The 24,644-nt window shown below is 40.0% G+C and overlaps 1 protein-coding gene and 1 long non-coding RNA gene across 54 annotated transcripts in view; one reads left to right on the top strand and one right to left on the bottom strand.

Annotated features, from left to right (window-relative positions):
- The window catches only part of THRB (thyroid hormone receptor beta), a 378,556-nt gene that overhangs the window by 288,721 nt on the left and 65,191 nt on the right, over nt 1-24,644 (top strand). For all 53 annotated transcript variants that reach the window (NM_001374822.1, NM_001374823.1, NM_001374824.1 and 50 more), the window contains one exon: nt 16,654-16,914. In NM_001374822.1, coding sequence (NP_001361751.1) covers nt 16,654-16,914 — 261 coding nt within the window. The remainder of the gene's footprint in view (nt 1-16,653; nt 16,915-24,644) is intronic.
- Nucleotides 17,032-24,644, bottom strand: part of THRB-AS2 (THRB antisense RNA 2) — a 38,633-nt gene continuing 31,020 nt past the window's right edge. Inside the window, exon 4 of the long non-coding RNA NR_121667.1 lies at nt 17,032-17,413. This is a non-coding gene — a long non-coding RNA (THRB antisense RNA 2). The remainder of the gene's footprint in view (nt 17,414-24,644) is intronic.

Genomic DNA, 24,644 nt, shown 5'->3' with positions numbered 1-24,644 from the left:
TTTCAGAGCCTGTTATTGGTCTATTCAGGGATTCAACTTCCTGGTTTAGTCTTGGGAGGGTGTATGTGTCCAGGAATTTATCCATTTCTTCTAGATTTTCTAGTTTATTTGTGTAGAGGTTTTTATAGTATTCTCTGATGGTAGTTTGTATTTCTGTGGGATGGGTGGTGATATCCCCTTTATCATTTTTTACTGCATCTATTTGATTCTTCTCTCTTTTCTTATTAGTCTTGCTAGAAGTCTATCAATTTTGTTGATCTTTTCAAAAAACCAGCTCCTGGATTCATTGATTTTTTGAAGGGTTTTTGTATCTCTATCTCCTTCAGTTCTGCTCTGATCTTAGTTATTTCTTGCCTTCTGCTAGCTTTTCAATGTGTCTGCTCTTGCTTCTCCTAGTTCTTTTAATTGTGATGTTAGGGTGTCGATTTTAGATCTTTCCTGCTTTCTCTTGTGGGCATTTAGTGCTGTAAATTTCCCTCTACACACTGCTTTAAATGTGTCCCAGAGATTCTGGTATGTTGTGTCTTTGTTCTCGTTGGTTTCAAAGAACATCTTTATTACTGCCTTCATTTTGTTATGTACCCAGTAGTCATTCAGGAGCAGGTTGTTCAGTTTCCATGTAGTTGAGCGGTTTTGAGTGAGTTTCTTAATCCTGAGTTCTAATTTGATTGCACTGTGGTCTGAGAGACAGTTTGTTGTGATTTCTGTTCTTTTACATTTGCTGAGGAGTGCTTTACTTCCAACTATGTGGTCAATTTTAGAATAAGTGTGATGTGGTGCTGAGAAGAATGTATATTCTGTTGATTTGGGGTGGACAGTTCTGTAGATGTCTATTAGGTCCGCTTGGTGCAGAGGTGAGTTCAATTCCTGGATATCCTTGTTAACTTTCTGTCTCGTTGATCTGTCTAATGTTGACGGTGGGGTGTTAAAGTCTCCCATTATTATTGTGTGGGAGTCTAAGTCTCTTTGTAGGTCACTAAGGACTTGCTTTGTGAATCTGGGTGCTCCTGTATTAGGTGCATATATATTTAGGATAGTTAGCTCTTCTTGTTGAATTGATCCCTTTACCATTATGTAATGGCCTTCTTTGTCTCTTTTGATCTTTGTTGGTTTAAAGTCTGTTTTATTGGAGACTAGGATTGCAACCTCTGCCTTTTTTTGTTTTCCATTTGCTTGGTAGATCTTCCTCCATCCCTTTACTTTGAGCCTATGTGTGTCTCTGCACATGAGATGGGTTTCCTGAATACAGCACACTGATGGGTCTTGACTCTTTATCCAATTTGCCAGTCTGTGTCTTTTAATTGGAGCAATGAGCCCATTTACATTTAAGGTTAATATTGTTATGTGTGAATTTGATCCTGTCATTATGATGTTAGCTGGTTATTTTGCTCGTTAGTTGATGCAGTTTCTTTCTAGCATCGATGGTCTTTACAATTTGGCATGTTTTTGCAGTGGCTGCTACTGGTTGTTCCTTTCCATGTTTAGTGCTTCCTTCAGGAGCTCTTGTAGGGCAGGCCTGGTGGTGACAAAATCTCTCAGCATTTGCTTCTCTGTAAAGGATTTTATTTCTCCTTCACTTATGAAGCTTAGTTTGGCTGGATATGAAATTCTGGGTTGAAAAGTCTTGTCTTTAAGAATGTTGAATGGCCCCCACTCTCTTCTGGCTTGTAGAGTTTCTGCCGAGAGATCTGCTATTAGTCTGATGGGCTTCCCTTTGTGGGTAACCTGACCTTTCTCTCTGGCTGCCCTTAACATTTTTTCCTTCATTTCAACTTTGGTGAATCTGACAATTATGTGTCTTGGAGTTGCTCTTCTCAAGGAGTATCTTTGTGGTGTTGTCTGTCTTTCCTGAATCTGAATGTTGGCCTGCCTTGCTAGGTTGGGGAAGTTCTCCTGGATAATATGCTGCAGAGTGTTTTCCAGCTTGGTTCCATTCTCCCCATCACTTTCAGGTACACCAATCAGATGTAGATTTGGTCTTTTCATATAGTCCCATATTTCCTGGAGGCTTTGTTCGTTTCTTTTTACTCTTTTTTCTCTAAACTTCTCTTCTTGCTTCATTTCATTCATTTGATCTTCAATCACTGATACCCTTTCTTCCAGTTGATCGAATCGGCTACTGAAGCTTGTGAATTCGTCACGTAGTTCTTGCGCCATGGTTTTCCGCTCCATCGGGTCATTTAAGGACTTCTCTACACTGGTAATTGTAGTTAGCCATTCGTCTAATCTTTTTTCAAGGTTTTTAGCTTCTTTGTGATGGGTTCAAATTTCCTCCTTTAGCTCAGAGAAGTTTGATTGTCTGAAGCCTTCTTCTCTCAACTTGTCAGAGTCATTCTCCAACCAGCTTTGTTCCATTGCTGGTGAGGAGCTGTGTTCCTTTGGAGGGGGAGAGGAGCTCTGATATTTAGAATTTTCAGCTTTTCTGCTCTGTTTTTTCCCCATCTTTGTGGTTTTATCTACCTTTGGTCTTTGATGATGGTGACGTACAGATGGGCTTTTGGTGTGGATGTCCTTTCTGTTTGTTAGTTTTCCTTCTACCAGTCAGGACCCTCAGCTGAAGGTCTGTTGGAGTTTGCTAGAGGTCCACTCTAGACCCTGTTTGCCTGGGTATCAGCAGTGAAGGCTGCAGAACAGCAAATATTGCTGAACAGCAAATGTTGCTGCCTGATCATTCCTCTGGAAGCTTTGTCTTAGAGGGTTACCCAGCCATGTGAGGTGTCAGTCTGCCCCTACTGGGGGGTGCCTCGCAGTAAGGCTACTCAGGGGTCGGGGACCCACTTGAGGAGGCAGTCTGTCTGTTTTCAGATATCAAACTCCATGCTTGGAGAACCACTACTCTCTTCAAAGCTGTCAGGGACATTTAAGTCTGCAGAGGTTTCTGCTGCCTTTTGTTCAGCTATGCCCTGCCCCCAGAGGTAGAGTCTACAGAGGCAGGCAGGCCTCCTTGAGCTTGTGGTGGGCTCCGCCCAGTTCGAGCTTCCCGGCTGCTTTGTTTACCTACTCAAGCCTCAGCAATGGCGGGTGCCCCTCCCCCAGCCTTGCTGCCACCTTGCAGTTTGATCTCAGACTGCTGTGCTAGCAATGAGCAAGGCTCCGTGGGCGTGGGACCCTCCAAGCCAGGCGTGGGATATAATCTCCTGGTGTGCCGTTTGCTAAGGCCATTGGAAAAGTGCAGTATTAGGGTGGGAGTGATCTGATTTTCCAGGTGCCGTCTGTCACAGCTTCCCTTGGCTAAGAAACGGAATTCCCTGACCCCCTGTGCTTCCCGGGTGAGGTGATGCCTTGCCCTGCTTCGGCTCACACTCAGTGGGCTGCACCCACTCTCCTGCACCCACTGTCCGAAAAGCCCCAGTGAGATGAACCTGGTACCTCAGTTGGAAATGCAGAAATCACCCATCTTCTGCGTCGCTCATGCTGGGAGCTGTAGACTGGAGCTGTTCCTATTCAGCCATCTGAGAACCGCCCCAAAACTTATGTCTCTCAACTTCCCAAACATCAGTGTTCAGACACTATTGCTCCATGGGTGAAATGAGACAACCCTATTCATTTAGACATAATGTCCTTTATATGCTTTTTTAAAATTTTGAGACAAGGTCCCACTGTGTCACCCAAGCTGGAGTGCAGTGACTCACTGCAACCTCCACCTCCCAGGCTCAAGCAATCCTCCCACCTCAGCCTCCTAAGTGGCTGGGACCACAGGTGTGTGCCACCACACCCAGCTAATTTTTTGTATTTTTGGTAGAGATGGGGTTTTGCCATGTTGCCCAGGTTGGTTTTGGACTCCTGAGCTCAAGAGAGCCACCCACTGCAGCCTCCCAAAGTGCTGGGATTCCAGGCATGAGCCACTGCGCCCGGCTGGGCTTCTAAAGAAAAATGCCCTTTCCTCCATTCATTTTCCAGGAGAGATTTTGCTTCTTGAAGTGGTTTTTGCTAAGGAAATAGATGAACCTCTCTCAAAGCAATAGTCCTGCCGAAATGGCCCATAGTAATTACAAGAGTTCCCATTTGCCATCAGGCCAGTTGACCCATCCTGAGGAAGATTCCAAGTGCAGCACTTCCCCTTAAATTACTTTTGTGACTGTGACAAATGCTTTATCTCTGTGGGCTCCAATTGCCTCACCTGTAGAAGATAGCAAAGGTGTTATGAAAGTAGCTACCTATTTACTATCTGTAAGTTTGGGTAACATCTTTTGCTCTCTCAGCCAAGGTTTTCTCATCTGTAAAATGGGGCTAATCACAGCATCTCCTCCACAATGTTGTTGTAGTGAGTAAATGAAACAGTAAATGAAATGGCACATAGTAGGCCCTCTATAGGCATTGACGCTCAGTATCATAAACTCAAAATTATCCTTTTGTCAGTTCTAAATGATTTGGCAGCTTTTTAACCTTCTAGATGGCAGCTAAGAAACAAATTGATTCTTCATGACCTTGGTTGCTTTGTTTTTGCCATCTTTTTAAGTTTGGCCGTTTGGAGGCAGAGCCGGTCATAAATACTAACCTTTTTAAAAATCATCATCAGCAACCAGTATGGGAAACAGAATGCTTCCTTGCACAGCTGTCTCTTGTTTGGTTAATTTACTAGATGAAAAAAAGGAGTCTTAATTACAAAAACAGCTCTTAGTATTTGAGGTGTAGGGTTCAAATATCAGAATTTGAAACAGCATTGAGATTGAGCAATGAATTTTTGTTGTATACCAAAAACGTATGTTTTCAATTAAAAGATTATGGGATGAAGAATCACAAGACTCATCCCAGCTCTTCCTCCATCTCAGTCACTTTGAGCAAGAATGTGACCTCTCTGAGCCATATTTCAGCCCATGGAATTTAGTTTTTGTTTTTGTTTGCCTGAGATGATCATCTAAGCCCTCCAGTGTTGACTTCCCATAAAGGGTGTCGCATGCTCAGCTAATCCTACTTGGGCCTGGATTCTGATTTTGTCATTTATCCACTGTGTGATCTTGGGCAAGTTGTTTAACCTCTCTGTGCTCCAGGTTCCTCATACAAAAAATGAGAATAACAGTCTACTTCATAGAGTTATCATGAAAATTAAATGAAAACTGATCAAAATGAGTGCCTAACATATAGTAAGCATAAATAAAATGTTAGCTATTGCTTTTATTATTTTGTTGGCTGTCTTTAGAGGAGAAACCGACAAAAAAAAATGGAAGTATAATCTGAAATCTTGGTGTTTGGATTTTTCCATTTTATGAACCAAATTTACCAAACTAACCACTTAGGAAATAAAGACATCAAATACACTGTCTTTTAATTTCTGCATGTATAATTTCCCTAACCTACAATTCATCAACTACTACTTTCCCCTCTGATTTCTGAATAGGAAAATCATGGCTCTTATCACTATGTGGTATATGTTAAATCCCACCAACATTTCACTTGGGTAACCACATGTTTAACAAATTCTGTCTACTTTATATGGAGACTGTGCCCCTAGAACAGAATGTCTCAAACATTAATGTGCATGTGAGTCACATGGGGATCTTGTTAAAATGCAGATTGTGATTCACCTGTTCTGGAGGCAGAAATCCCACATTTCTAACAAATTCCCAGGAGATGCTGATGCTGCAGGTCCTTAGACTGCACTTTGAGTAACAGGGCCGTAGATATTCACAAGCCATTTGAGCATGGAGGAGGCAGGGGGCACACCTGACCCAAGTAGAGATCAAGCAGTAGAGATCAAGCAGGCCTACAGGAACTCACTGCCAGACCCCCTCTCCAGCCCCAACCTCGCCAACTCTAATTTAAGAAATTGAAATGTTTCAGGGGAAAAATAACAGGAAGATATGGAAAAGACAGTCAAAACCCTACCTGCTTCTCTTCATTTTCCTAAACTTAAAAAAAAAAAATCATAGAATAGATTACACCAAGCAATTTGACCCATCTGCAGTTCTAAATTATCTTCCACAAGACAGGCACGTAGAAGACAATTTAATTCTCCCCTCTTTACTGTTGGGACTGTATCAGTGAGATACAGGTGCTAAAATAGACCCTCCTAGGGGAGCATTACATACCCTGCAGGTACTTAAGTCATACCACTAAGGCCCATTTCATAAAATATGTTTTTGGTGTATTTAAAAGTATTCTGTGGACCTGAAAATATCCCAAAAGCGCCTGCTCTCAAGGAGATCTCACCAGTGTAAAAACCTCACCTGCTATTATAACCAAGAAGATAGCTGTGCATGCTGTGGCAGTGCTTCTATTCCTGAACCAAAGAAAAAACCAAACTTTTCCAGATTGAAATGTCTCTTCCCTAAAAACTATCTGCCATGATCTTGATCCTATTTATTTTTTTACACATAAAAATTGAAAATTAGTCTCACCTGGGTACCAAACAAAGTGGGAAATTGTAGTGAGATTCTATGAAAACCCAGAGGAGGACCTATATGTTACTCTGCTAACACTAGCATATATTTGTGTGGATTTTGTTAATCCCTGAGAGTAATCTGTTGAAAGAATATGGGTGTTTTGCTGCCAAGTACTGAGATTTTTACAGGGTGATGTATACCATTGATCTAATTACCCAAGTCATATTTTGTCTTTTATTTGAGAAATTATAAATCTTAAGTTTTGATTTTTGTCCACAAATCATACCCTAGTCCTAGTTTCCAAAGTCAGAAAAGATTCACGTGTATTTTCTACCCTGAAAAGGGGTATTTCATGTTTGGGAGCATAAAATGGGGCGAGTCTCATAAAGATATCTTGGGTTTTTTTGAAAAATGTGGGTTCAGACTGGCATCAAGAATAAACATTATGCTCTGAACTTTTGCACAGGATAAACCTAATCCTAGCAGTAAACATCTGTTCCCTTTTATGTGCATTTGTGGCTCGTTAATATGAATGTTTCTGCAACCACTGTAGCTTTTCTAATATCCTAAATGGAATCTCTGTGGCCTTTAGAGTAATTACCTCAAAGTTTGAGTCATCCAACCTAAGGACTCTCTGATTAAATCCGGTATGAATTATGGAAAATCAAATGACCATTCCTGGGGGAGGATTCCATTGTGTCCTCCGGAAAGTATTTTCCCAGTGCTCAGGGCCTCTGGTCAGTGTTCAGCAGTCAGCTTGTTCCTATGTGGTTAAATAATTGTAAGATGTTGCCTATGAACCTGGTCACCGCCATGTTTTCATGCAGCCAAATGACATTTACACCATGGTCTTTGAACACACGTTGTTTTGTTTTGCTTTTTAGTTTTGTTTCAGGCTGCACTTCAGATTAATAAGCATCCTCTATAAATGTTATAAACACAAACTTTAAAATTGTTTTAATGGTTTTCATTTATCAAAAGATTATCAATCATTGTACTTTTTAGTTTCAGAGTAATTATTTCAGGTTTCTGCAGTCATGATGATTGTTTTTCATTAGGATAGTGATTGCCTAATGGAATATACAGGAAAACCAGAGAAGTGGGAGCAGCCAGATAAGGAAAAGATTTGTTTATCTCCTAACAGCTCCCAAATCTCACCCACTTAATGGACTGATAATCCCCACCAATGAAATAGGAGAAGCACTCTGTGATAGCAAACTTAAATTCACTTGCACACGGGGACAGAAAAGCCCAGTCTCAACAAGAGAGAAAATTAATAGGCAGGTGCTCAGTAAAAGAAAGACAAAACCATTTAGCAATGAAAGGCAGCGTACTTGAACAAAGAGGCTAATTTTGCAAGACTTTGCCTAAAAGAAGATATTCTGAAGGCATAGTTTATGTAACCGGACAAAAGTTGAACATGGGCCTCAGCAGACCGTATTGATCAAGTCTCAGGAGTGAAGCAGCAGAGTTCTTCTTGAGATGAGTGCACCCTGATTAGGGATATCAAAACACATTATCTGAGTTAGATAAAATAATGTATGAAAAGTACTTTCGGATGCTATCTGGCATGTAGTAGGTGTTCAGTTGGTAGTAATTTTAATTTATGGAGCCTAGTCTATGTAGCCTGACTTAAATAAATGCTCCATAAATCTGAGCTATCACTAACATTATTATGATTATGCCCTTCAGCTACCTTGTACAAAATAATGAATATGGTTCCCTCCCTTTCTCATCCACTCTATCCTCAATTCCCTTAGGAGCCAGTGGCCAGGAAGACACACCCTCCCCAGCTATGACCCATGCCTCCATGAGTCTAACAATGACCAGAATATTTCACTCCATTTTGCAGGCTTAAATTGTTGAGAATACCAAAGTAGGATCTGTTCACAGTCTCAAGAGCTATCTAAGTCTTCATTTTGGGAACACTAACATACACCAACAAGAGCTCAGAAATGATCATGATTGCATGAGCTTAGAATAAATAAGAAATGTATTTTAAAGGAAAAAGAACTCACCACAGACTGGAATAGTAAGGGAAAGCTGTGTGGATAGGACTGAAACTGAGCTGGGAGAGTCCAGAATGTTCGTGTAAATTGAGAGAAAGGGGAAGCATGAGAATAGATCCTACAGGCTCCTTCCCACCAGTTGAGAATTGTGGATTTGGTCTCTGTAATTACTAGTAGTTAAAAAAAAAAGGGGGGGGGGGGGGCGGGGGGAGACACTTTGAACACTTACTGTATTTCTGCACAAGGCTAGACCTTGTCCATGTGTTGGCTCATGTATTCTTCACATCAACATTGTGAAGTACTTTCACACCAACACTGTGAGGTCCTATAACCTATAACGCTTCCATAGCAATTCTTGAATGTAGTAATAGCAGATTTCCTTTAGAAACAGCCAACAATTTAACTTTTCACTATTTTGGAGATGTCTCTCCTCCCTTGTCCGAATATTCCAAATTTACAAGTCTCATGGCATCAGCTGGGGCAGAGTTCCTGCAGAGACCTACATAAATGGAAGCGAGCAGGCACTGCAGCTTCAGGCTACTGTTAAAAGTTCCCAGGCCAGGCAAAGCCACCTGGGTAGATTCAAAGGCACTGGGAAACACAAGCCAGGAGCCTGCCCTCTGGTGACCAGCTCACCCCATCCCAGATGTTAGTGGACTAACCGATTAAGTCAGTGTTTCAGAGGTCTTAGAAAGATGGCCTTGAGATACCAGCTCCGGCATCCGATACAAATGCCAAAGTAAAAACACGGTTGGTTTACACAGCCTGAGGACAAGGAAGAATAAAGCCATCTAGCTGCCCTTTCTGTCTTCCCTGCTCACAGAGCTTGTCTAAGGCTATGCTACAGTATCTGTTGATGGCTGAGCTGCCTTTTGTTGCAGAACTTTGATGCTAACCAGTTATGGCTGACTCTGCCTTGCATAGAGCACATTATTGCTCAGTAAATAGAAATTCCTAAATGAATAAAAACCTGTATGTGCTCTGTTCAGTTTCGGGGTATTTTGATCTGTTCTTATTATGTTCAATTATTTCCAAATAATATTTATTGAGGTCCCATCATGTTATAGCATTGTGCTTAGACCTGTGGAGATTAAGAGATGGATACATTGATTAGAGTCCAATAAGAGGGAAAAGGGCGCATGTACCATTTACATGATACAAGGAGGACATGGTAAGTTCTTGCCTTATAGAAGAGACATAGACAAATATTATGGATAATTCAGGAGAGAGATTCAAAGAGGTAGAGCAATTTGCCCCAAACCACAGCTAATATATGGCAGAGTCAGAATTTGAACCTTGGCAAGCAGAGCCCATATTCTTACCCACTATCTTTTCCTGCCTCTGAAAAGCAAAATAGGTTTCATTTTCACCAGCACTTCTGGGAGAACAATCCTATTGGTAGTCCATATTGAATTGCTTGTAATGATGAGTCCTCCTAGCAGACCAGTGGCTTTTGGATAAGAAACTGGGCATGAATTATGTCCCTAGGAAATAGTTTTGTGTTTGCAAAGTTACTGGATTATGTGCCTAGGAAATAGTTTTCTCTTTGCAAAGTTATGAGAGGACAATAAATATTACTTCAGATGTTGTGCTAGCCACTATGAGTGTTAAGAAAATTATATACATGTATGTAAATGGATATATCACAAGGTAGAAGGTAGCACATGGAGGAGAGAGATACATGGAAAGTGGGATGGAAGTTTGGAGGGTGGATGGATTGCTTCAAGAAAGCTTAAATGATGAACTAGACCTTGAAGGTTGAGTAAGGATCAAATGTGTGTCTTCATTGTTATGTTATTTGAGCTACCAAGCTAATCAAGCCAGATAAAATGATGGTCAGGCAAACCTAACAGGAAATGCTCACTTCACCAAAATTCTTCTCCCATTTGCCTTGCACAGAATCTAGGAATCCAATTTTAGAGATACATTCCTTGGGCCATGGCCCAATGCTTTCCAGGCATCCTCTTTAAAACACAACTTCTGCTGTGAGGTGACTCATCCCAGGTTCTTAGCCATTAATATAGTGGTATGGAGTCATTTATGAAATTCTTTTTTTTGGGGTGGGGGGAATGCTCTTTAAAAATCATGTTTAGAGGAGAAGAGTTTGGAGAGTAAGGCAAGGGAAGAGAGGTCATGTGGATGCATAAGTGAAGAACTTACAATTAGTGCATGCTTACAATGTGCAGGACACTGTTCTAAGACCTTTTTATATATAAACCTATTTGGTCATCAAAACAATAGTATATTCCCATTTTACAGAAAACCCACATCTCTAAAGTTCCAGAAGCAACTTTTTTTATTTTTATTTTTATTTTTTTGGCCTCTCTAATGACCACCTCTCACGAGGCTACCAAGAAATATAAGGGATGAGCCATTCCTTCAAATGGCTTCTGGACTAGGTCAAAGTTTACAGTCCTTGGCAACCAGAAGCAACTTTAACTGAACTATAGAAGGTCAGGTCAGGTTTTAGAGTCAGAAGACCTGGGTTTGAGTCCAGTTCCATCATGTACATCCACATCACTTTCTAAATTCAGTTTCCACACATGTAAAACAGGGATGATAATTCTGTCCACATTCCCCACCCCCATACAAATTTTGCCAAGCACCTGTTATTCATAAGGCTCTTTTGCAAGTGCTAGAGACACAGTAATGACCACAACAGTGCTCATCCCTATTTCTGTCATGCTTACATTTCCAGTGAGGACAGACAAAACAGTTCCCATTGGTGACAAGTATGATGAAGAACCTAAAGTAAGATGATAGAGAGAAAATGGTTGGAGAGCTGGTCAGGAAAGGCCTCCCTCAAACCTCAATGACAGGGAGCTGGTGATATAAGGATTTGGACAGGGGCACTGCAGCATAGGAAAGAGCTTCTGCAAGATGCTGCTGTGGGAATGGGCTTCCTATGTTAGAGGCAGCCCATGTGGCTGGAGGATAGAGAGAAGGGGGCAGAGCCATGGGTGAGGAGCTCAGCCAGAGGGAGGCTCAGTGGGGCCTTGAGGCCACTGTAAGGCCTGAAGATTTTATTCTAATATTGGTGGGAAGTCATCAGATTATTTTAAGAACCAGAGAAATACACTCTTATTTATACTTTTAAATGCTCACTCTGGCTGCTCTGTGGAAAATAGATTATAAGTGGCTGAGAGCAAAAGCAAGGAGACTTGTTATGAATATAAATGAGTAACAGGAAAATTAAATGAGGTAGTAAGTACAATTTCTAAAGAACTTTCAAAGCACAAATAAAACAATAGCTATTAATAGGTCAATTACTACTCATCAAACTAAGGGCGATAAGGAGAACATATCGGTTAATAGCACAAAAGGCAAAGAGGAGCAGGTGAAGTGCTTCTCTTAATTTTAGGTTCCTTGTCAGTTAAGCAGTATATATTCCCTGGATGTTTGTGAAGATAAAGTGTCTAGCTCAGTTCCTGGCTCATAGTAAATGCTCAACCAAACATTATTCTCCTGTCCTGCACGATTCTAAAAAAAAATCAGTTGAGGCGTACATAGTCTGAGAATTCAGCAAGGCTAAACCTTATGGGTTGAAGTAAAAAAATTAAAATGGAAATTTGAGGCTTCATACCTAATAGTCTGATGCTACACAATGATAATTCTACACACTCTCTGGGTTTACAAAGCACGTTTTATACACACACCCCTAATGCAGAATATGGTTTGCAGTCAGTCTCAGTACCTAATATTAATGGCCTTTTAATGCAAGCTAAACTCTTGCAATGAGTGCCATGAAATCCCAGCCTACGCAGCTTACCCCTTCTGACCACTTTGTCATAATCCTATTTCCTTTGCTTTAGCTCTTTTCTAAGGTATCAGCTCGCTCTTGTGTCCTGAAATACTTGAATATTTTAATCTAATTCTCCCTTCTTTGATGGACAGATTTATTTTCTATCATCTTTAATGAAATATCCAGAGATAGGATGTAAGTAGTTATGTTAATGCGATTTATGTTTGTTTCTCTTTTGCAAAAGAACACTTTGGATCAGTGTTGTGTCAATCAAAGCCATCAGAATGATGGTCATCGAATGCAAACCTAATCATTCAAGCCTAAACTCCCTTGAGACACACAAGCCAATGCAGTTCACATGTCCCTATCTAGTTATTATTTTATTTTGTTCTACTTATTTTTAATTCACCATAACTAATTAAATTGATTAATTGTGTTGATGTCTAGAATGTGAAGTATTGAAAGCCAGATGTTAGCTGGGATTCATTAAAGAGTAAACGGTTCATAATTTATATGAATAACAAGATATGATCGTTTCTAGAATGCTCGTTTTTTAAAAAAAAATATTACTTCTACTACTGTGTGCATTGTGTCCCAGATAATGCTCAGAACAACAGGCTTTTATTTTTAATTTTTTATTTATTTCAATAGGTTTTTGGGGAACATGTGGTGTTTGGTTTCATGAATAAGTTCTTCAGTGGTGATTTCTGAGATTTTGGTGCACCCACCACCTGAGCAGTGTACACTGTACCCAATGTGTAGTCTTTTATCCCTCATCACCCTGACCCTTTCTGAAGTCCCCAAAGTCCAATGTATCATTCTTATGCCTTTGCATCCTCATAGCCCAGCTCCCACACATGAGTGAAAACGTATGATGTTTGGTTTTCCATTCCTGAGTTACTTCACTTAGAATAATAGTCTCCACTTGCATCCAGGTTGCTATGAATGTCATTATTTCATTCTTTTTTATGTCTGAGTAGTATTCCATGGTGTATACATATATATCACATTTTCTTTATCCATGAGTTGATTGATGGGCATTTGGGCTGGTTCCATATTTTTGCAATTGCAATTTGTGCTGTTATAAACATGTGTGTGCAAATGTCTTTTTCATATAATGACTTCTTTTCCTCTGGGTAGATACCTAGTAGTAGGATTGGTGGATCAAACGGTAGACCCACTTTTAGTTCTTTAAGGAATCTCCACACTGTTTTCCAAGTGACAACAGGCTTTTTGAGTAAATACTTATTTACATCCATACCTGCAATCTGAGTAAATACTTATTTACATCCATACCTGCAATCTACAAGATAATATCTAATTAACACCTGACTTTTAAGGCGTCACTCAGTAGACCTCAAAACAATGGATGACTTTTTGAATGATAATGAAAATTTACTCTGAGGTTGTGTAAAATATTGGAGTCTGAAGAAACTACACGCTTATTCAAAATCTGTCACTAATTTATTTTCTTACCTTAAATTTATCTTAACCCTGTGGATCTCAAACTCTGTTGGGTATCAGAATCACCTGGAGAACTTGATAGATCTATGCATGCCCACACCCTATCCAAATTTCAAAAAGCCTGGTCTTCAGTGTTGTTTAATAGTGCCTCAGGTGATACTGATACACATCAAACTTTGAGAATCACTGACTTAACCTTTTGGGATGTTAATCTCCCTAAAAAGAAATATCCCATTTGTGTGAGCTTTGAAGGAACAAAAGGATATGGGCATTAGACATAGGAAATTACTGAAGACCATTATTGCCAACCACAGGTATGTGGAGGTAACTTGCAGTTCTCACCAACAACAGTATATCCAGTAGGTAGAATTCAAGGACCCCAGTGTCATGGGAGTCTCATCCTTCCTTGGGAATGGCATAGGAATTGCATGTTGCCCCTCTGTTCTTGCGAGGATCAGAATCAAGAATCCTCCTTAAATAAATTCCTGTTGAGTTTTCTCATGACCCAACCGGGACTTCTCAGTCTCCAGGTTTCCCAGCAGTGCCCCAACCAATAAACCTGCCAGTTAAGCAACTGAATATCATTATTACGAATGTAATTACAGACAGTAATTATGAGCTTGTAATTGCCTCCCATGAATGAAGCCCTTTTCCCAAACCATCTCAGCTGCTTTTCTTTGGAAAATGAAAGCAATCCTATCCCTTACCTCACCCCAAGTGTAGCCTTCCTTGCTTAGAAAAAAACCCCTTCTTGCTGGCCCAAGGGACATGGTAAGCAAGCTTTAATAGGCTGCACTTTAAGGGGCAATGTCCTCTTGGAGTGGAGCCCCTGTTAGCATCTCTCAGCCAAGCATTGTTTCCCTAGGGAGTAATGACTACCCAGTTTGGCTGTTTTTCTTAATTTCTGTGGGGTCAAGGGAATTAATACCAAATTTTAGGAATTTTCTGCAGAAAAATCACATCTTAAAGGCTTTTCAAAATAGTTTGAGAACTTTAACCTTATTTAAATTAAGCTTTGCGAGATGCAATTTGCTGAGGATTTAGAGTATCTGAAAATAAAGCAGACACCATAAAAACATGTGTGCTGAGAAGAATTTTCATGTCTGTAGAAATAAAATCAATCTCATTAGGCCCAGAATTAACCCCTGCCCCCAGTAACTTTATATTTAGCTCATGAAAAACCTCAAGCCCTTATGGATAAAGGTACTTGAATGAGTTACACATGGATATGTTTAGCTCGAAATGCAATACGATCTTTCAAGATCTCAATCTGTTGTTGCCTTTTAATGGCTACTGAGAATAAGTGCCTGTAATTGCACCAGTAGCTAGCACAGTCGAAAGTGGTAGAAGTCCACACCTTTTTGATTTACCATGCAATGAATAATGCCATATAAACTCTGAAAAGGAAGAATCTATGTTTATATAATGTGCCTAATACAATGCTTAGCACAGCCCTTTGCATACAGTGAATTTTCAGAGCTCTTCTCTGAATAAGATCAAATGTTACACCCAAAAGCTAGCACAGTGTACAATTTTTAAAAGGAGACTTATTGCTTACTGGCCAAAGTAAGCTATTTCAAGCCACAGCATTTCCATTTACTATGACAAAGGAATCGTGTGTTGATTGTTACTTTGTTACTATTGTTCATGGTTTTCTCCTGGAGTAGAAATACAATGTGCATGGGCATTGGCATTTTCTCATAGTAATATGAAAACCCGGAAGGGTAAATGCAACTTTCAAAAGTGACTGAGTAATTTACACTTTTAGAGAAACCATCCTAACCAACATTAGCTGAAGACATCTGGTAGCTTTCGAGAGGGTGCTTATGAAAACCTAAAGCATTTTTAACCCTCATGTTAAATAATTTAAAATTCACTTTAAATGTTTGAAAGTCAGCTTAAAATTCAGTGTGCTGTGCACAGGTCAGGATAGACATGTCTCTCTAAGCCCCAGGGATATGGGTATCCATGGTCTTCTCGTAATTTCACTGTTAAAAAAAATTCACATATAAATTTGTGAATTATGATCACTTTAAAAAGACCATATAAACTCTGAAAAGGAGGACTCACATATTTATATTATATTTTTTCTAATTTTGACAAACAGTAGCTTAAGAATTTCTGAAAATATGGATGACCAGATGGATTGTTTTTTTAATGTGTACAACATGCATACAAATATGTATATATATATATATTAGCTTGCTCATTTTTGCTCTCTATATCCATGTGCAGTAAAGATATTTAAGGAAGTAAAATTTGCCACCAGGGAAGGTTAGTGTCAGAAATTTTTCATCATATTATTACATTTTTTCCCATTTTCTGTAGGCCAGACCCTCAAGTCCCTATAAATTGAATAGAAAAAATATATATAATATACATAAATAATTAACCAGCTGTACTCCAAAGAATTTAAGTTCATCATTCTATCATTAGGGCTCTTAATTTGTCCCACACCTAAAGCACTATCTGCTTTCCTTCATCGGTTCTTATTGCCAACTTGGGACTCTACTGAAGCCCTTTACAAAACTTCTATTTGTAAGATTCCCTTCTTTTTTTTTTTTTCTTTTTGTAGGCCATCAGAGGTAGAAGGTGGTAAAAACAGAGTTGCCACTCTCGGTGTGGCCACGTGAGCACGTCCCACTTAAGTAACAGGGTGTCCCTCAGGTCAGCTTGTGATAAAACCCAAGTCAAACAAGGCTGAATCCTGGGTGTTTTATGTCCTAAGGATCTGAAAAGTGTTCACGGCCAGCCCTGACCCTCAAGACCTCAAATGGTCATCTAAGCAGTAACGTAAATTGGTGTGTAAACTTGCTCCTGGGCCATTGCTGTGGAAGTGGGACTGGCGAAAGTACAGCCTTGCCATGCAGGAACTAATGTCTTTCTAGGCATTTAAAATAAGGGGGAATGTGTTGATTACTCCGACAGGCAACCCAACTGCAGTGGCTAAATGCCCAAGGCTGACAAATTCTGCATCTTATCACTCCCGTCAAGTGGCATGTGAATACTGTCAGCCCAAAAGAATTGAGAAACAACTTGCCTTCCAAAACTCTGCATCTCAGCAAAATCTTGACAATGCCAACAGCTCGTCATCTCGTGTTTTTCAACCCTTTAGAAAATGGCCTTACAGCCTGGGACAAACCGAAGCACTGTCCAGACCGAGAACACGACTGGAAGCTAGTAGGAATGTCTGAAGCCTGCCTACATAGGAAGAGCCATTCAGAGAGGCGCAGCACGTTGAAAAATGAACAGTCGTCGCCACATCTCATCCAGACCACTTGGACTAGCTCAATATTCCATCTGGACCATGATGATGTGAACGACCAGAGTGTCTCAAGTGCCCAGACCTTCCAAACGGAGGAGAAGAAATGTAAAGGTAACCAGATTTTTATTAGCCCATTATCATGTGTTTCAACAAGAAAAAAAATATCCCTGTTGTAGCTGTGTACTTCATCTACATTTCTCTTCCAATGTATGGTGTCCCATGTTTTCTCCAACTGTTCTTTTACTAGGCGTCCTTTTCTTCAAATATTCTTTTAAACATAAATAAATAAGTGGAATCCAAAGAAAGGCAGCTTGTTTCGGTTTCACGTTGTGCTGGGACACTTGGGGTGAAGACATTTTTACTTCTCTAATTAGTAGAGGGGTTGTAAGTTTTGGCTTTAATTCCATTTTTGGGTCTGAGTAGAAACAGGCATCGCTGTATTTTTATGAAGTCTTGCTTTAAAGTGTGTCTGTGCATGTGTACATTTCTTTTCCCAAGTGTGCCAGTAGCTAATGGGATCTCAATGCCTACCTTTAACCTAGACAATTCATGCTCAAATGAGAGGTTTTAAGTTGTTGTCTTCTACTCATTAAATCCTTGTGTCATCATCCTGAAAGGAGAGATTATGGTGTTAGGAGGTTGTCAGCTCATAAGGCAAAAAAAACATTAAACTGGCCTAAGTTCCTGATTGCATTAGATTTAACTGTTCTTTACCTCAGGTCGCCTCCACCCTGACAGATGTCTTTGTGCTGATCGCTTTATTGTCTTAGGGCTCCCCAAAATCTTTGCTTCTTAAATCAATTTGTGTCTTTCAATGTCCAAGAGATCAATTTGCATCTTTAAATGTCTAAGTTCATTTAATTTCCCATTCTTTTTCAGTTTAGTGGTTTTTCTTTTTTAAAAGAAAAGGGGGGGTCTATTTAGTTTTTCTTTGAGGATTGTGACTCATGGTAAAGTTTTAAATTGTGTTTTGAAAATCTCACAATCATATACCAAAACATAATAAAGTTTGCAAAGACTCCCATTTACAAGGCATGAAGGACTTACACAGCTGCTCTACTTTGAACATATACACATGATTATATTTATCCTTCATATAAAAGAACTGGTCTTTTAGGTTTTCTGAAAATGCTTTGAAAGCTCCTGGGAATTACCAGTTTACCTGGGAAATTGAGTGTTTCAGTTGGAAATAGAGTTATTCAAAAGTAATAGTGAAATAGTGTTCTGAGCTCTGATTTGAGTGCAGTCAAAACTATACATGTCCCTTTGGAAAGGTTTGTATTTGGACTCTCTTTCTCTCATATATATATATATATATATATATATTTGAGGAGATCTGAGAAATTGAAAGGGCTATATAGAAAAAAAAGCAAAATAAAGTTTTTCAAAGGAGTCAGGATGTAGGACGTATGTGTGTGTGTGTGTGCACGTGTGTGCGTGCGCAAAATACATTTGTTTGCAATACAATTGAGATTTACTCTTAGCGTATGTGGCCAGATTGTATCTCAACATTGTATGGGCTGGCACTAAAACCATGTCAGTTTACGGTGAAACGCCAACAGAAAACTCTAGCATCCTTGTGATCTAATAATGTCATAAACCCAATTTGATTCACTCACAATTGATACCAATATTCATTCATTTATTCATTCATAGAGTCCATCTATGTCTCTATCAATCATTTAAAATAAATCTATGCATCTTAAAAGCAAAAGGAAACAGTCTCTGTTTGAATACAAGATGCTTAGTAGAGTGGTTAAGACCACAAATATTTGAGACTGATCTATTTGAGCTAGAATCCTAGCCTTTCTACTTTCTGTCCTTGAGCAAACTTATAAGATTGTTAATACAATTAAATAAGATGATGTATTTAAGCATTTAGCAAAGTACCTGACTTATAGTGCTCTCTGAATAGCAACTGTCATTATTATTGTGATCCTTATTATTAGGTATGCATTATTAAGTCATATAAATACTTTGAACTATGCTGTGAGCCTGGTAAGAAATGAAGCAAGAGGAGAATTTCAGATAGATGTGGGGTAGGACATGAGGCTTCAGGGACGTTAGAGTTGATAATTTATTTTGCATTCATTCAACTCTTTTTCACTGAAAGTCAGAGATGTAATGAGAAAATATAATTAAATTATTAAAGTCCTTCCTCAAGATCCTAATATTAACAGGAAAACAGCTAAAATAACTCTCCCATGTTTTCCAGAGTAACCACCAGGGTCCACCTTGACATAGGCATGAGGCAATGCCTTGGTTCAGCATAAAAATGCCACCAGGAAACCTGTGTCATCTTGGTCCAAGAAACTTATAAATACCATTCATTCAAAATGGGCACATGTGTTGAGTGAGGCAGCAGTGAGTCCAGGACAGCAACAAGATTATACAGTCTTTCCTTATAGAGTTGGTTCTCCATCTGCTCTGCTTGTCAGCTCTATATAGTTACTATGAAGAGAGTTATATTTTGATGTTCATCCATGTTGGGCATTTATTTCCTAGATGGCTGTGTATCCCACAAGAATGCTTGACATCTCAGTCTTGGGCTAGTAATCTATGCATTCACTCATCGGTGTTTATTGAGTGCCTACTGTATACAGGATATTGCCCTTGATGTCCAAGCATAAGAAAATGGCAGCAGGGCCAAAAGGACATCCAACTAGCCCTATTCCAAGGACCCCATGTAGAAATGATACGAACAAAATAGTCCTGAGGATACAAAAGTTAATTCTGCACAACAGGATCCAAAGAACAAATTGACTTCCTTGAAGCTGTGCAGTGAGCCCATCTGCCAGATCAGTCATCTAGCCAGGCTAGACCAGTGCACTTCTAAGCGTGGTTTGGGGACTGGCACTCTTCTGCAAAGTGGTTATTACCATTTCTATTGATGCAAATACAGAAACTGAGAGTAAGCTTTAGGAACTTTTATAGCAGTTTGACATTGCCACTGGCATCCAAATGCATGATCAGTGAATTCATTTCACTGAACAGGATATAGACAGTTAGTTGGGGATTGTCAAACTTGCCTGGTCAGTCACATGTGGTTTGAACTATGTAAAAGTCCTGTGCAGTAGAACCATGTATTGCTCCATAATGGACCAGATTTTTAAAATAGTCTTTCACTTCAAATAGTTGATAGTACTCTAAATATTGTTTCTTTAGGGTTTTGGGTAGCTATCTAAGGTTTTGTTTTTCATTTTGTTCTGAATACTGCTTTTTTTTTTTTTTTTTTTTTTTGAAATGGAGTCTTGCTCTGTTGCCCAGGATGGAGTGCAGTGGCGCAATCTCGGCTCACTGCAACCTCTACCTCCCAGGTTCAAGCAATTCTCCTGCCTCAGCCTCCTGAGTAGCTGGGATTACAAGCATGCACCACATGCCCAGCTAATTTTTGTATTTTTAGTAGAGACAGGATTTCGCCATGTTGGCCAGGCAGGTCTCAAACTCCTGAGCTCAGGTGATCCACCCACCTCAGCCTCCCAAAGTGGTGAGATTACAGGCATGAGCCACTGCACCCGGCCTTACTGCTTTTATTTTAACCTGCATATACCTATGCTTCTGTCTGCTGTAAGCATCCTAAGTGAATTAATTGGTAACACATTTAATTAGAATGAGAGCTATGGAAGAGCCCTTACATTCTGTTGCAGATCTCACAACAGATCTCTGTTGAATCTGCTGGAGTATCAGAGGCTATTTTAACCAGGAGCAAGTGACCCATTCCCTTCTGCAACTCACCCCACCCACCCACACCCGCTCTTTCCATGCCACACTTCCTTGGCACTTTAATCACAATTTGAACCAATTGCTCAGCCATAAGGACCACATCCTACTCCTTGTCCTCCTCCTCCCTTCCCAGTCTGAGACGATATATCCAGTGCTACTGAAAGTGTGGTAGTACCAATCAGTGGCACTAGGAGAACCTGGAGCTTGGTAGAAATAAGATTCTCAGGCCCCACCCAGACTAGTGAATCTCTAGAGAGGGGCCCAGCCTTCTATGTTCTTGCCAGCCCAGTGCAGATTCTTAATACCTGGGTATCATGACGAGCTTGAAAATACTCTTCAACTCGTTGCACAGGAAAGGGTCTGCCACCTGGTGGGCACTTAGGAAATGTGCATTTTTCTTCCCTTCCCTGACTGCACGTGGGGAGCCACTTGAGTCCCTCCATTCTTGGTTGGGCCTGTCTTTGGGCCTAGCTTATCTCAATTGCCAGCTGGAAGGTCTGCTTAGTCACTGCCTAATAACAGATCACCCTGGGACTTGAGCCCTTCTGAGAACCCCACACTGTTTGACTGGGGCCCTGATCCTCCCCTGAAGTCTTACAAGGCTTCACCCCTCTACCCTCTCATGCCCTACTGTACTTCTCTCTGGGAACCACAGGGTCTCCCCAGTCCCACAAGGATGGGCTCTAGACGGATGCATGGATCCCTGGAGCTGGACCTAACCAGCCCTGCTGAACCCAGGCAGTCAGGCCTTTACACTTTTATGTCAATCAGGGACCTCCCTGAAACAGTGAAACCCAAGGGGAGAAACAAGGCAGGGACTCACCCACCTCCCTGGTGGACTCAGAAAAAGGAGAGCAGCCATCAGTGATCTCACAGAAATGTCTCTGTGCTTAATATTTTTAAAACTGATTCTCAGATACCCAGGAAGGCAAGAGGGAATCAGTTAAAATAATTTTAAGAACAAGTTACTTCCTCTCATTATAAAAGCCTATATATGTTCATGGTAGAAAAAAAATTTCTACAAATTTTTAAAATTGCAAATAATGTTTTAAAATCAGTTGAAGTTCTATTCCCCAAGGGTAAGCACTGCACATTCTTATTACATTTCAGTCTTTTCTCTGTGCATGTGTATTTTTTATAAACCTGGGATCATACTAGGCATACCATTTTAACCAGCTTTTAATGCCTAGCAATATATCATGAACATTTTCCCATGTCATTAAATATTCTGAGTCCTGACTTTCATTGGCTATAGATTATTCTTCTTTATAGATGTATCATACTTTATTAAACCAGTCCTCAAGATTTAGACAAGTTAAAGTAATTTTTTAAACAATATCTTATGTCAGCAAAGGGGAAAACTATTAATTCATGCTCTTCATAAAGACAAAAAAAATGAATCAAATCAGTGATGACAATTTCAAATGATGTGCCATTCTCATTTACCAAAATAACAAAGTGTCTTAAAAGTTGGAGACATAAATGCAAGTCATTGTGTGCATTATAATCCTTCATGTTAGACATTCACATTTTCAGCAGATGATTGCTATCTTTGTCCTTAAGTAAAATACAAGGGCATCTCCAGGTGAATGAGTATTTTAAAAGGTGGAGGATTAAAAAGCTTGTGCCCTTCCGCCAGTACTACCATCTGCTCCATCCATCTCTGCTCTCTACTCTGCCCCACTCATCATACATCAGGATCTGCAGTCCCAACTGAGAGTGCCAGTGATTCTTATACCTCAAGGGCACTCTGGGAACCTTAGCAATCAACATGAGAACGATGGCTCTCTCCCCACTGTGGGCATATGTCAGATAGCTGTGTGATTTGATACTTCAAAGGCAGGGACGAGTACCCCATACGTATACTGGGGCAGACAGAAATAGAAAGCCAAGGGGGAGAAAAGCTACTCACGAGATTGGAGGGAAGAAAAAACAAAAAACTGGAAACAGCAATGTCAAAGGGAGGTAGATATCAGAAATTCAAGGCCCTGGTTCATCTAACTTCAGTTTTCGTTGAGATGCACACAGAGCAGAGGATGGACCACCCCACGCTTTCCAAGGCCAACTGAACAGTGTCTGTCACGCCAAAGGATGCAGACGTACCCAACCATACCTCTCATCATACTCTGTCCCAGGGAAATACTTACACAGGGCACAAGTCTGTTCAAACATGTTCTTTGCATCTTTGTTTTTTGTTACTGATAAACTGGAAGCGATCTAAATGTCTGTCCACTGGGGAATGTTCCAATAAATTGTGGTACATCCAAAGCATTCACCAGAAAAATTAAAAACAGGCTTTTTTAAAAGAAGTGATTTTAGGAATACTTATTGAAAGTAAGCATGCATTAAGAATAGTGTAATCCCATTTATAACGTTAAAAGTCTATATAATTGTGTGTTTACAAATGTGCACAGAAAAAAGTTCCCAGATATACATCAAACTTGTTTCAGTAGATACCTTAGAAAAGGGCGGAATAAGAAGGATTAACTCCATATGCAACCACATTCAAAAATCTTTACAAGAACGTATTAATAAATATTAATGAATGTATTAATGAATAATGATGTGCATAAATTTGTTTAATGTTATTATCATATGCTTTACAGTTAGGCTTCAGTTTATTTCTTGCTCTTTAAATCATCAGCTCAGGGAAAATTTTTTAACCTCTGTAACCCTCAGTCCATTTAGTTTTAAACAGAGGAATAATATCTAGCTTTCAGATTTGTTGTAAAGATGAAAGATATTTCAATGAAGGATTTAATTTAAAAAAAAAAAAAAAAAAGATGAAAGGCCAGGCGCCGTCGCTCACACCTGTAATCCCAACACTTTGGGAGGCCGAGGCAGGTGGATCACTTGAGGTCAGGAGTTTCAAGACCAGCCTGGCCAACATGATGAAACCCTGTCTCTACAAAAAATACAAAAAAAAATTAGCTGGGGATGGTGGCGTGTGCCTGTAATCCCAGCTACTCAGGAGGCCGAGGCAGGAGAAGCGCTTGGAACCCAGGAGGCAGAGGTTGCAGTGAGCCAAGATAGCGCCATTGCACTCCAGCCTGGGCGACAGAGTGAGACTCTGTCTCAAAAAAAAAAAAAAAAGAAAAGAAAAAAGAAAAAGAAGAAAAGAAAAAAGATGAAAGATAATATGTATAAAGCCCCCAACATAGTGCCTGACACTTAGGAGAGACTAAACAATGATAACTGTTCTTAGAATATAAACACACCTCTTAGCCTTGTGCCCACCTCCTCCAGTTTTTGCCACCCTTTCTGACCTTGAAATACATTGAACTATATAAAAATAAATGAAGGGACGCCAAACAAAACATCATGTGCACAGCTCTAGTAGAGGCATAAACAGTTGAAAAAAAAGTCCATAGCAACAACCAAAGTATTTTTTTTCTCAGACTCTTTTAAAATTTAAAACTTTAAATAAGAAATCAAGGGGAAAATGAAGTAGCTGAACTGGAATTCTAACTCAGGCAATCTGGCCCCAGGGTCAGAGCTCTCTACAGTTATAATCCCCTATGACTTTAAAGGGTAAGAACATTCCAGACCCAAAGGAAAGAATTTGAAACTGCAGAGGAAATACTGCTCTACTGTCAGGTAAAGATGCAGGGTGGTCAGACTTGCTGTGATGGGAGCAGTAGAGGTCAGCACGTATCTACTTATACAGTCCGAGGTCATATTCTGGTGCTGCCATTTACCAGCCATTGAAACTTGGGCAAGTCACTTTGTTTGAGCCTCAGTTTTCTCGTCTGTAAAATGTGGACCCTCTTTCACAGAATTGTGGAAAGAAACAAGCTCTTAAATGATCTCATGGGACACAGTGAGTGCTCAATAGATGGGAGTTATTTTTCTTACAATGAGCCAGAAAGACTATGAGAACCACATTGGACATTAGGAATGCAGAATGCCCACGTCAGAATAATCACTATATTGTGGCTGGCAGGATTGAAGTTTCTAAAGCCAGGAATATTACGGACGCAGGCAGAACAGATGTAATAGCCAAATCCCTTGACTCTTCCATCAGGTAGTTTTCAGACAAAATCAGATACAAGTGGATTGCTAATGTACCTAGCACTGAAGTTGGAAAGGTATTATTGGGAGGGTCAGCCTTACAAAGA

The sequence above is a fragment of the Homo sapiens genome, chromosome 3 (genome assembly GCF_000001405.40).
Source record: "Homo sapiens chromosome 3, GRCh38.p14 Primary Assembly".
NCBI classification, from domain to species: domain Eukaryota; kingdom Metazoa; phylum Chordata; class Mammalia; order Primates; family Hominidae; genus Homo; species Homo sapiens.
This window is presented reverse-complemented; position numbering and strand designations above follow the sequence as displayed.